At 34.2% G+C, this 12,298-nt stretch overlaps 1 long non-coding RNA gene across 2 annotated transcripts in view, besides 1 other annotated feature; it reads left to right on the top strand.

The window, feature by feature from the left end:
- Positions 1-12,298, top strand: part of LOC105372190 (uncharacterized) — a 312,925-nt gene that overhangs the window by 250,372 nt on the left and 50,255 nt on the right. The window lies entirely within an intron of this gene.
- Positions 8,731-9,401: an enhancer, noted in NCBI's record as "OCT4-NANOG hESC enhancer chr18:71098754-71099424 (GRCh37/hg19 assembly coordinates)". NCBI's record gives its function as "activates a minimal SCP1, AML or CMV promoter by ChIP-STARR-seq in naive H9 embryonic stem cells {active_cell/tissue: H9 hESC(naive)}" and the evidence as "EXISTENCE:reporter gene assay evidence [ECO:0000049][PMID:30033119]".

Below are 12,298 nucleotides of genomic sequence, written 5' to 3'. Positions count from 1 at the left end.
TTCATGTTCCCAAGAGTCACAGTCCTTTCCAGTTCAGTTCACACATTGGAGTCTATTTTATTGTCCTTCCATTACTTTATGAAAAGACATAATGGTGGTGACAACTGGGTACGAATTTGTTTTCCGTTGCTGCTGAAAATAATACCACCATTTGGCAGCTTAAAACAACATCCATCTATTATCTCATAATTCTACAGGTCAGAAGTATCAGAATTCTGGTGGGCTCAATTGGGCACTGTGCTTAGCATCCTGTAAGGACAAAATTGGAGTTCAGAGAGTCTGGGCTCTTATTTAGAGGCTCCTGTCTGCAGCATTATTCAGGCCATTGACAAAATCCCAGTTGCTTGCTGATATGGTTATGAGGTTCCCATTTCCTTACTGGCTGTCAGCTGGGGGGACAACCTCAGGCCCCAAGGCTGCCCGCACTCCTTGGCTTGTTGTCCCCTGCTCCATCAAAGCCAGACCCTAGTGCTTTGAGTTTCTTGGACTCCCCCTTATGCTTTTAAAGGCTCGTGTGATTACTCAGGCACACCTGGATATTTCTTAAAATCAACTGATTAGTAACTTAAAGCACATACACAAAGTCCTTTTTGCCATGTAAGATGACGTATTTGCAGTCCTGGGGCTTAGGGTGGAATCGCCATACCCCTTGGCCACTCTCATTCACTGATGATAATTTTCACTCCTTAGTTAGAGACTGTGTCGCCCATGCCACACTCCACTCCTCCATCCCAAACCTGGGCTGCCTCCCACACCAGGTCACTGCCAGAGCCTCAGCCTCTTGGCTTCTCACCCGTATTGAGCTGCTCCTCATTTGTGTCTGAGCCTTCCTGCCTACCTGACAAGCCCACAGCACCATGTCCTCCAGATCATGCTGGGAATCCTGTTCAGACTCTAACATTTTACTCCCTCATGTATCTCACCCCACTACATTTCTTTCAGTTCCCCCAGGCCTCCAGTGCCTTCAATCTTCTTTCAGCTGAAACCCTTCCCTTTCATGTCTAGTGGTCTCTTCATTTAACCATGCTCTGGCCCATATTCTAACCCTTCCATTCCAAAAATGTTCAACTTTTCTTCAACATAAAATGAAATCCTCCTTGAATCCAGGTAAATGCCCTCTTCACATTGTACCAGCTTGATCATTGCTGTTTAAAAAGAGCCCATGCAGTACAAATGGATGCCAGTAATGAGACAGGGTGGGCTCCATTTTCTAGCAGGGTCTCCCGTGCTGCCCAGCCAGCCTCCTATGTCACCTGCTGAGCTTCCCACCCATACTAAAGAGGGCAATTGAAACTCACTCCATTCTTTTCAAACCCCCAAATCTGTCACCTTCTCCTATACTAGTGTCATATCACCTTGTTTTCTATTATAGGTCCTAATAATACGATCTGATCATAGGGTGCTTGTTTTTAAAAATCTCAAATCTACAGTCTAATATAATTTTTGGGAAAAAACTAATCAGAATTGTTCTCTGATGAAGTAGAAATCTTAGATCATGTATTTTACATTTATTTATAAGTATTTTAGTATTCCTTTAAGTGAACTCATTTTGCCCCTTTGACAAAAAAATACAAAAATTTAATTCAATAGGATGAATAAGACCTAGGATTTGATATCACAGAAGAGTAACTACAGTCAACAATAATTTATTGTGCACTTTAAAATAACTAAAAGAGCATAATTGATTTTCCTGTAACCCAAAGAAAGGATAAATGTTTGAGGTGATGAACACTCCATTACTCTGATGTGATTATTATGCATTGTGTTCCTGTATGAAAATATCTTATGTAACCCATAAATATATACACCTGCTTTTTTCCCAAAAAGATAAAAATTAAAAGATTACTTAAGATGTTTAAATTGTCTAATCCCATCTATATGGAAAGGACTGTAAATACAAGTGATTCCCAAAGTTTGGTTTTGTTTTGTTTGCTTGATTTACTAATACTCAGTTTTAAGAAACAAAATGTCTATATAAACTCAAAATTAAAACATAAATACAAAATGAATGTAAATTTTAAAAATTAAGGGGTTAAAAACTAAGTAAACTAAGGAAAAAAATGAAAACTTTACCAACATTATCAGAAAATGCTGAAAACAAAATATGAAAGCAAAAACTTCTCTTGAAGAGGTAATTAAACAACTTCAGGTCAGGGTCACAGACAGCTCATTTCTTTTCAAGGTCCTGGGGTTATTGGATAAATATTTTTCATAGCTGGGTAAACGTTGCTGGAAACAACAGTATTATAGGAGATTGTTCGTGCCTGCAGACTATATGTAATTCTCTCTCCTGCTGTTGGATATGTTTCATTAAATAAAGAAGAATAGAAATCTGAATATCTTTCACCAAAATAATGTAAGAGAATCACGACTTGAAAGATTCGTTTTTCTTTTTTCATCCCTTTCAATGCATCCTTCCCTTTTCAATGGTTGAGGAATGAGCATGAGCTTCTGAATTCTCACTTTAGGACTGTTCATTCACAGGGTTTTAGCCGAAATTAAATTTGGATCCATCTGGTACTATAGAAGTAAAAGACCATCCCTTCAGTTGAGAGAGAACACACATTGCTCCCGTGCTGCTATCATGCTGGAAAGCAGAATGTTTTCCATGGTATTAAATAGCAACACCATGAACAGCAGGAGCAGGGATAAACTTATGGTCATGACCACAGGACTTGGCACCTGCAGCCACCATGGATTCAGAGCACTTATGGTCTCTACCCGCTGGGATATGTGTAAATGGAAAATGATCTGACTTTCCAGTTGCTGCACCAAATACCTGTGAAATGATACCCCAAGGGCAGTCTGTGCCTTAAGGCCCATCTGCCTCCAGCATCTGTCTTGACTCCTCTTCCAACCTCCAGGGCACACATGGAAACTCATTACTTGGGTCATATAGGTGTGTTCTAAAACTTTCTCTCTGCCTTCGTATTTTGCATACCTAGAGAGAGAAAACAGACTGAGAAAATTGGAAGGCCTAAAAAGAACATTATTATCTTTACCTCAACATTATTAATTGGGGAGTCAGATTAACTTGCTTCAGAAAATAAATGTTTGCTTTGCAAGTGAAATGCTTGTATTGGGTGAGGGGCTAGTAGAAACCTGTGTGGGTCTAATTTAGTTATTTCTAACTTATAAATAGGAAGAGACTTTATTTGATGAATAAATCCAAAGAATAGTGGAGGAAAGATGTCTGATGGAGGAATTAAGAAAACACAAGTTGATGTGATTTTCTCTTTTTTTGAAGTGTTTTCACTATTAGATAGGTCAAAAAATTATATTCCCCATTTTTCTCAGTGAGGCTAGTACCCCGCTCCTGTTTCAAGATAGCAACTAATGCCAGACTTCATTGACAACCCTTGACGGTGAACCATTTAGTAACAGGTTTTTATTTCCTCTCATTGCTAAAAAAAAACATGAAAAAAATTAAATTCAAAATATAGTTTATATATCCATGACACATGGCCTTCTTGTAGTGCTTATCTTGGTATAGAAAAGCAAATAAGAGTTAATGAATGCTCAGAACTCAGGCTCTGGACAAGGAAGACAGAATATCAGTCTTAAGCATACCTACAGCAGTAGTGAAAATGCTACAGCTCTGGTAGTCAGGTGCTTCCAGAGCTCTACAACTCTCTGCCAGGCTTCAAGCAACTATTTTTCTTGCTGAATTTGGCACCTCCCTCTTGTCTTCTGCAGCAATCCTTCCTCCTTGATTTCTATGACCTTGGGCTCCCCCAGCTCTCTTTGCAGCTTTCTGATACTCCCTTCTGTCTCTTTTCCTTCCTCCTTATCTTCTTTCCACAGTGTAGATGCTGGTGTTCAACATGGATGCTGGCCTTTTTTTTTTTTTTTTTTTTTTTTTTTTTGGCCTTTCTCTTCTTCCTCCCCGGAAGCTTTCATTCACTCACACTTCCACTTCAGGGTACCGTAAGCCCTTCAAATGTCTGACAAGCTGAAGATGGAAATCATCCTTTGCCCCCTTCCTTCCCCACTTAACTCAAACTTATTCTTCCTTTTTGGTCTTTCTTGGGATTAATGGTGGCCTCTTTATCCAGCCAATCATTTAGACTGAAAATCTTGACATCATCGTAGACTGTTCTTCATTTGCCTCCTCTGAATTGATTGCAACAAAGGTCTCCTGCTTTGCATTCTATGTGTTTCTGAGTTCCACTTCTGCCTTTCAAACTTCACTGTTTTTTGCTGAGATGAATTCCTCTCCCATTAGGCTTTTCTGCCCTCTGCCTCTAATATCAAATATCCATTTTCATTAATATTAAAGAAATTTCAGTTATACTAATTTACGAATATTGCCACTATTACTGAAATCGTTATGTATTCCATAACTTTGGGGTCAAATTTCAGTATCCTCAGTGTGATTTGTATGGACTCTCTATCATCTGTTTTATCCAATTGTAATCGTTATTTATTGGTACATTTATACCAAAGTTTAGCAGATTAAAGCAACAAACATGTACCATCTCATGATGGCAAGGATCCAGCCATGGCCAAGCTAACTGTCTCTGCCTCAGTCTCATAACAAGCTATCATGTTGTCCACCAGCCTAGAGCTGTCTTAAAATTTTATTTTTTTTTTTTGCTTTTTTGGCAGACCTCATATTCTCACTAGCTGTTGACCAGATACATTAGTTTCTTGCCAGTTTGGTCTCATTATGTCTATGGAAAAAATGGTGGCTTGTTTTTCTGAGAGTTAAGGTTCTAAGACAGGGGAAGGGCAAGATAGAAGTTACAATCTTTTCATATCCACGTCCCAGAAAGTGACATCTCGTCATTTTTGCCATATTCTATTTTTAAGAAGAGAGTTACTAGTTTTAACCACAATAAAGAAGAGGGGATAAAAAGGTAGTAATACCAGTAAGGAGGATAATTTGGGTCATTTTAGAGGCTCCCTACTGCTTTCAGAAACCAGCAGAATGTCTTATTATACCCTCTTTTGTCTGGCTTTTGTAGGTAGATATTTAAACATACTTCATTTTTTTTTTTTTGGAATCTGATTTTCCATATATCATTTTTTCTTTCTGAAACTCTTTTCTTTTCTTAGCCAGATTTGAAGAACTGATATTTACACTTCAAATTTAGCTTTACGTAAAGCTAAAGCTAAGCTCCTTTATAAGACATTCCCTAAACTCTCATTATTGTATGTCTTCTGTATCTTTTATATTTCTCTATTACTGCATGTGTTATACTCTGCTGAATTTATTAGTTTATGAGCTTCTCAAAAGATTATAAGTTTTTTGAAAGCATGGGCTCTCTTACATTCAATGTTCATTGAGTAAACACCAATGAATTATAAAATGAATTGAATAATTTTTAATTGATCAAATTTGAACATATTTTTCATGATTCATGATATCTACTTTAGGATGTAACACTGTTGAAATACTGCTACTTCTATAAAATAAGATATATACAAGTAAAAAGATATTCAGTACATTATTCATTACCTTCTATTGTGGCATTCTGCTTACTTTTGGACAAAAATACTAAGTAAATTATGTTTTCTTTGAAGGAGCTCATAATTTTATGGTAGAAGTTAGATAAGACAGGCTGAAAGCCTCAGCTTTATCATCTTTAGTACGGTTTATTTGGTGAGTCTCTCAATCTTTATCAGCTTTATAATATTAATGTTGATACTTATTTTAGAGAATTGTTGTAAGCATTAATCTTAGTCTTCATGTAATATGTTGGTGTTATTATATATAATCTATCATTGTACTTTGAGGTATCTTCTAAGTAAAATAATATATTCAATCACCATTTAAAATGAGAGGGTTTAAAAAAATACTGTGGTAGGTAAAGAATACATTCTTCAGACTCAGACGTCTATTAATAATGAAGGTGAAGGAATTTATATTCCAATATAGATATTTGGAGAAATATTTAAAATTATAGGTGTCTTATATTACTGAGATTTTAATACATTTTAATAAAAGAAAAATGTCATAGTATCAATCAATACATTTATCCTATTGCTGTTCATTTCTCTTGCAGACATATTATATTTTTTCATTTTCTCTCTCAGCACTTTCCACTAATCTTCATTTTATGTGTATAAATTTCTTCCTGGTGTAATTTCTCTCATTTTGGCACAAAGACGTCAAAGAAGAAACAACAGTTCTGAGAATTTGCTGAGATCAGGTAGGGAAATAAATGTTTTCTAAAATTAAAAATGCTTAACCATAGTCTAGAGATTTTCTAGGTTAAAATTCTAAATATATAAATAAGATGTCATGTGATATTTAAAAGCTTACCTAAGGAAACTAAATAATAACAAAAAAAAAATTAAGATGAATGTTGCTTAAAAGCTGCCCTTAGGAAACCGAATGGTGATAATGATATAACGACAGTTATAGAGAGGGATTCCTATATCCTATAGCATAAATGTGACTGCTAAATGAAATCTTCTACACACATTTTCTAAAAGTTATTGAGCTAAATAAAGACAACATATACTATCATTCAAAACTCATACTAAGAGGATAATTCATAAATAAAGAATGTGATAAATCCTAATTTACTGATAATTTGGAAATAAACTCCTGAGGTCAGCAGAGGTGTTTCTAAAACTATTATCAGCAATATAATTAAGGGAAAGTTAAGCTGAAGATGATCAGAAGTGACAGATGGTGGAGAAGCGCAAGCGTACCCAGTGGTGGTGGGGAGGGGTGGGTCAGTCCAAGAAGGCTGCCCCAACATGAGTGATGATGGAATAACAACAGGTTTGAGAGTAGTACTAACGATTATGGAGTTGGAAATTGCGAAGGACCAGAGGTGCCTGTCTTAGAAATGAAAGCTCCTGGGGGAGGGAAGGCATTACTTGTAGACTTAGAAGGAAAGGTATTAAAACAAAGTGACTGCAAGAAAGATTGTTTTAAAACAGGTATTGTGTAAAAAGTTACAAGAAGATGGACTCTCTGTAGATGTCATTGATTTAATAATGCGGTGCCTCACAATACCAACAGAAGAGAGTACTTTGAATAAAAAATGAATTAAGCTACTTAAACTTTCCCATCATAAAATTATTAAAATAATTTATCATTGTTTAAAAAGGAATATCCTTGTATGTAATAATGAGCAGGAAATCTAAGTCTTCATTTAATCAAAGCTATGAGAAGAAAACAGAGTGAAGATGAGACATAGTCTGATGAAAATACTTAAAGGAAAAAATCTGTAAAGCAGGGAAGAAACCTAGCGCGCAAAGATGAGAAAATTTATAGCTTAATCATTTAAATAAGCAACCATCATATAGAAATACAAACCAATAGGCATAAATTTAAAATAGGAATGAATGAACAGCAAAAGATATACAATTGAAGTGGAAAAAATTCAGAAAGACATTAAAGAAAAAAGTTATCTCAGAAATGAATAACAAAATATAACCTGCAAATAAGGAAATCAACACATATATAACATAAACATGTATTAAGAATTCCTTCTTTTGGATATATAGGCAGCCATGGGATTGTTGTATCATATGTTGGTACTATTTTTAGTTTTTGAGAAACCACCATACTGTTTTCTGTGGTCGCTGTACTAATTTACATTCCCACTACCAGTTTACGAATGTTTCCCTTCTTCCATATCCTTGCTGGCCTCTGTTATTTTTTTGTTATTTTAATAATAGCAATTTTAACTGGAGTGAGATTATAGTTCATTGTGGCTTTGATTTGCATTCCTCTGATGATTAGCTATGCTGAGCATTTTTTCGTATACCTGGTTGCCATTTATATGTCTTCTTTTGAGAAATGTCTATTCAAATCCTTTGCTTATTTTTAATTATTATTATTATTATTTTTGCTGTTGATTTGAGTTGCTTACGTATTCTGGTAATTAATACTTTGCCAGTTGAAGAGTTTTCAAATATTTTCTCCCATTCTGTGTGCTGTCTCTTTGCTTTATAGTTTCCTCTACTGTGCAGAAGTTCTTTAGCCTGATAAAATTCCTTTTGTCTATTTTTGCTTTTGTTGCCTGTGTTTTTGAGATCTTTGCCCAGATCAATGTTTTGAAGAATTTTCCCAATATTTTCTTCTGGTAGTTTCATAGTTTAAGGTCGTACATTTAAGTCTTTAATTCATTATGAGTTGATATTTGTATACAGTGAGAGATAGGGATCTAGTTTTGTTCTGCTGGCTATGGCTATCCAGGTTCCCAGCACCATTTGTTAAAGATAGCGTCCTTCTCTTGTGTATATTCTTGGTGCCTTTGTTGAAAATGAGTTGGCTATGAATGAAGGGATTTATTTCTGAGTTCTTTATTCTGTTGCCTTGGTCTATGTCTCTGTTTCTATCCCAGTACCATACCGTTTTGATTACTATAGCTTTCTAGTATAATTGGAAGTCAGGTAATTGTAATGCCTCCAGCTTTGTTTTTTTTTTGTTTGTTTGTTTTGTTTTGTTTTTTTCCTCAAGATTATTTTGGCTATTCTGGGTCTTTTGTGGCTCCATATAAATTTCAGAATTATTTATTTTATTTCTGTGAAGAATGTCATTGGTATGTTGATAGAGATTGCATTGAATCTATAGATCTTTGGGTAGAAGGGACATTTAAAAATATTAATTCTTCCAATATGTGACAGCAGAATACCTATTCATTATTTTTGCGTCCTCTTCATTCTTTCATCAGTGTTTTATAGTTTTCATTGCAGAGATCTTTTCCTTCTTTTGTTAAATTTATTCCTAAGCATTTTATTTTGGTGTAGCTATTATAAATGAGATTGCTTGCTTGATTTCAGATCGTTCACTGTTGGCATATAGAAATCCTACTGATTTTTAAATATTTTATGCCCTGAATAGTTTGTTTCTAATACATCATGAATTTAGGTAAAGTAAAAGGCTGATTGTTAAGAAGCAGATTGCCATTTATAAAAATAGGATATGTGCTGTAAACCATCTTTCAATAAAGTGGGATATCAGAAAAAAACACTAGGTTATAACATATCTGTCATATTCTCTCCCTTGAACATCCAATTCTTAGTATAAAATGACTTGCCACGTGAAACTCTCAGCTAGTCATTGGAATGGCTTGCTATTCATAAGCCTTGGTTCCCTACTGAGTCACTGATTGAGTTGGCTATGCAGAATTCCCTGACCCTCTGGTCTTTCCAATTGCCATTATTCCAAGGTAAAATATCCTCATCAGGAGCCTGAATTCTGTCCCTGCTTACATTGCTAGCCATATCTCCCCTACTATGCTTCTTGGGATTAAAGCTGTACTCAAATGAGTCATAATTCTCCCTCTCTTGCTTTATCTCAGTTGATTCCCTGCATTTAGAATGTCTCTCCTCATCGCCACTTGAATGGTTCCTTCTTTCCATTCATTAAGTTGTAATTAAAGGATCTCTTCCTCTAGGATGTTTCTATAATCCTTGTCAGCCAGTCTTTTTCTCTTCTGCAGAATGCAAAATAATACATGATATGACTCTGAGAAATTTCTGGAGTGCAAAGTGGTTGCCTTGATACTATAAACAGATTTATTTGTATGTCACTAGTAAAAAATATGTAATAAAAATAAAATAATAGAATGTGATAAAAATGAAATCTTAACTCATTACTTGACTCAAAAACAACAAATATTATCTTATTAATTTATATTCATAATAATATTTTTCAAAAATCTTAGGCATTTGAGAGATAAAATATTAAATATATAATCATTTATTTAATGCTTCGTGGTTATAGAACAGAATATAAATAAAGTCAGTGACCTGGACAGTAAAAAAGTTGTAAAGAGGGAAATATTGCATGGGAGGTGTTAAGGAGATATAGTAAGCCATGATATCTTTATTTTACACAATGGGAAGACAAGATATTACAACTAAAACTGAAAGAAAATGACATAGAGGATTAAGTATACAATTTTTAAAAATGCAAACACAAACAATAGATGAATATAAAATAAAATTGTATCAGCTTGTGGGCAAGGAGGAGAAGGAAGGTAGAAAGTAATTTGTGTGAGTCAAATGTTCATCTTTCAAAAACAACCATGCACATGCATTCTGTAAAACTGACACATAAGTACAGCTGTAAGGTACATTTAAAATCATGGAAGTCATTACCCAGAAACACCAAACATCAAAACCATCATACCCAGCAGCCTCTGCAGACAGACCTGAGGGTGCTGAAGGATAGAACAGACAGCCATGCTGTTCATTCTAGAGCTTTTGATTTTTTTAATTGTGTGCTTTAATAAAATAAATAAAACATGTTGCTACATTTCTCTCTCTCAAAAAATGACCTACATGTCTCTGTTACAATATTTCTTTTCATTTATTTGTGGAAGAAAAAAGCTGGCTCATTTTCTTTGCAGAGATAAAATCAATATTCTTGATAACTGCTTCTATCTGCACATTATGATATCAGTTAAGATAAAAATATTGGGTTAATTGAATCTGATAAGAATTATTTGCCTGAGGCAGTGTAGTAGAGTGGACAGAGCTCATCTTTACAAACAGATGCTATTCTAGGCCCTGTTTTTCACTGATTATATTATTTTATTACAAGTTACTTAACCTTTCTGAGCTTGTTTGCATATATAAATTGAGTTAATATCTAATTCACAGAGTACTGTAAAGATTAATTGTGATAATTTAAGTAAAGTGTCTTCCATAATTACCATTCACAAAACATTAGTTTTCTGATATCCTTTTAGCTTCACTGATTGATTGTAAGAAGATAAATTGGATGAGCGTGATATGAGGGTGCTAGGAATGGAAGATGTCAACTCCATTGACAGCCAGAGCCATCAGATATTTTATGGTTAAGATGATGCACATTTTTTCTCCTTATTTAATATGTCATTCTCTCAAATTTTAATATTTAATTTGTAGTATTAATATTGATTAACTTCTAGATCACTCTTACAGATAAAATGTTCCTCTTTTTATTTTATATATTTTCCTTCAAATTGCCTGAATATTTTAAAGTGTCCAATGCAGATCATGGTTTAGTTCATTCTCACCACAAATCACATCGCATCTTTATTATTGTCACCAATTTAACTACCTTTAACAGTGTTAACCTCTCAGTTCTTATGAAAAAATAAAATGGTTTTCTGAGTTTGGTATAAAAATTTACTCTTTTATGGGTAAGAACCACTTTTTAGCATATTTATTATAAATGTTATTTAATTGCTTGGCTAACTACTATACATTATTTGGCTACTTACCATACATTATTCAATGGGGCTCAACAAAATATACCCTCTTTTTTGCTAAAATATATTATTTGATATATGTATGTATTTCATATATATTAAGATTATACAAGTTCTAGAAGACATAAGCCTCAAATACTTAAACACACATATATATTCTCCTTTAATTTTTGAAGTATGCCTCTTCTGGAACTTGTATTTTTTATTTTATTACTTTAATTGACACACAATGATTGTACATATTTATGGAGTACAGTGTGATATTTCAATACATGTATACCGTATGTAATATTTTAACTATGAAACTTCATTCTGTGTTATGGCTATGTTAAATTTCAGTTACAATTACATGTACTTATAAACAGGACAATTAGCACATATTTTATTATAACAGTGCCTGAAATATGTTCATCTGAAGTATAACAGAACTAAATGTATTATTTATGTTAAGATGAATAATAAATGTTCCAGCTTTGTTATTCAATGTTAATTACAGGAGTGAAAGACTGCTATATGTGCTGTTTAGTTAGTCAGCTGAAGATGTTACAGGACCTATTACAATTTACGATTTGTTCTTCACACATACAGATGTTTCAGTCTTGAAGCAAGACAATGATAGGACCAGACCAGTAGTTATTTATAGAAAGTTTTCGATGCTCTAGTTGATTAAAACCATATTTAAACAAACTACAACAAATAAACAGTATTACTAACAATAATACAAAATTCAACTTGACTGAATTTCATGGACTCAGTATTATACCCCCGTGTTATATAATATATTGTGTGTATTAGAGTTTATTGTGAAATATGCTCAACTAACTATAACCAAATAACAATAAGATACTGGGTTTGAAGCACTTGCCTAAATTTACAACAAACATTAATAATGCTTTATAGCAATGTCAGATTTGCAAAGCGTTTTCACTGATTCATTTTTTTCACCAATATTTATTGAGTATCTGCCACGTACCAAGATCAACATAGGCTGCTGAGGAAAGAACAGTGAGCACAGGAGAGCCCGTCCTGCATGTTTCTGTACTCACATTTCTCATGCATGGTGAGCATCAGTCAAACATCCACACAATACAGATAAAACGACAGAGATGGGTGCCATGACGGAAAAGTGG

This window comes from Homo sapiens, chromosome 18, assembly GCF_000001405.40.
Source record: "Homo sapiens chromosome 18, GRCh38.p14 Primary Assembly".
NCBI classification, from domain to species: Eukaryota; Metazoa; Chordata; class Mammalia; order Primates; family Hominidae; genus Homo; species Homo sapiens.
The sequence above is the reverse complement of the archived record's forward strand: the minus strand, read 5'-3'. Positions and strand labels throughout refer to the sequence as shown.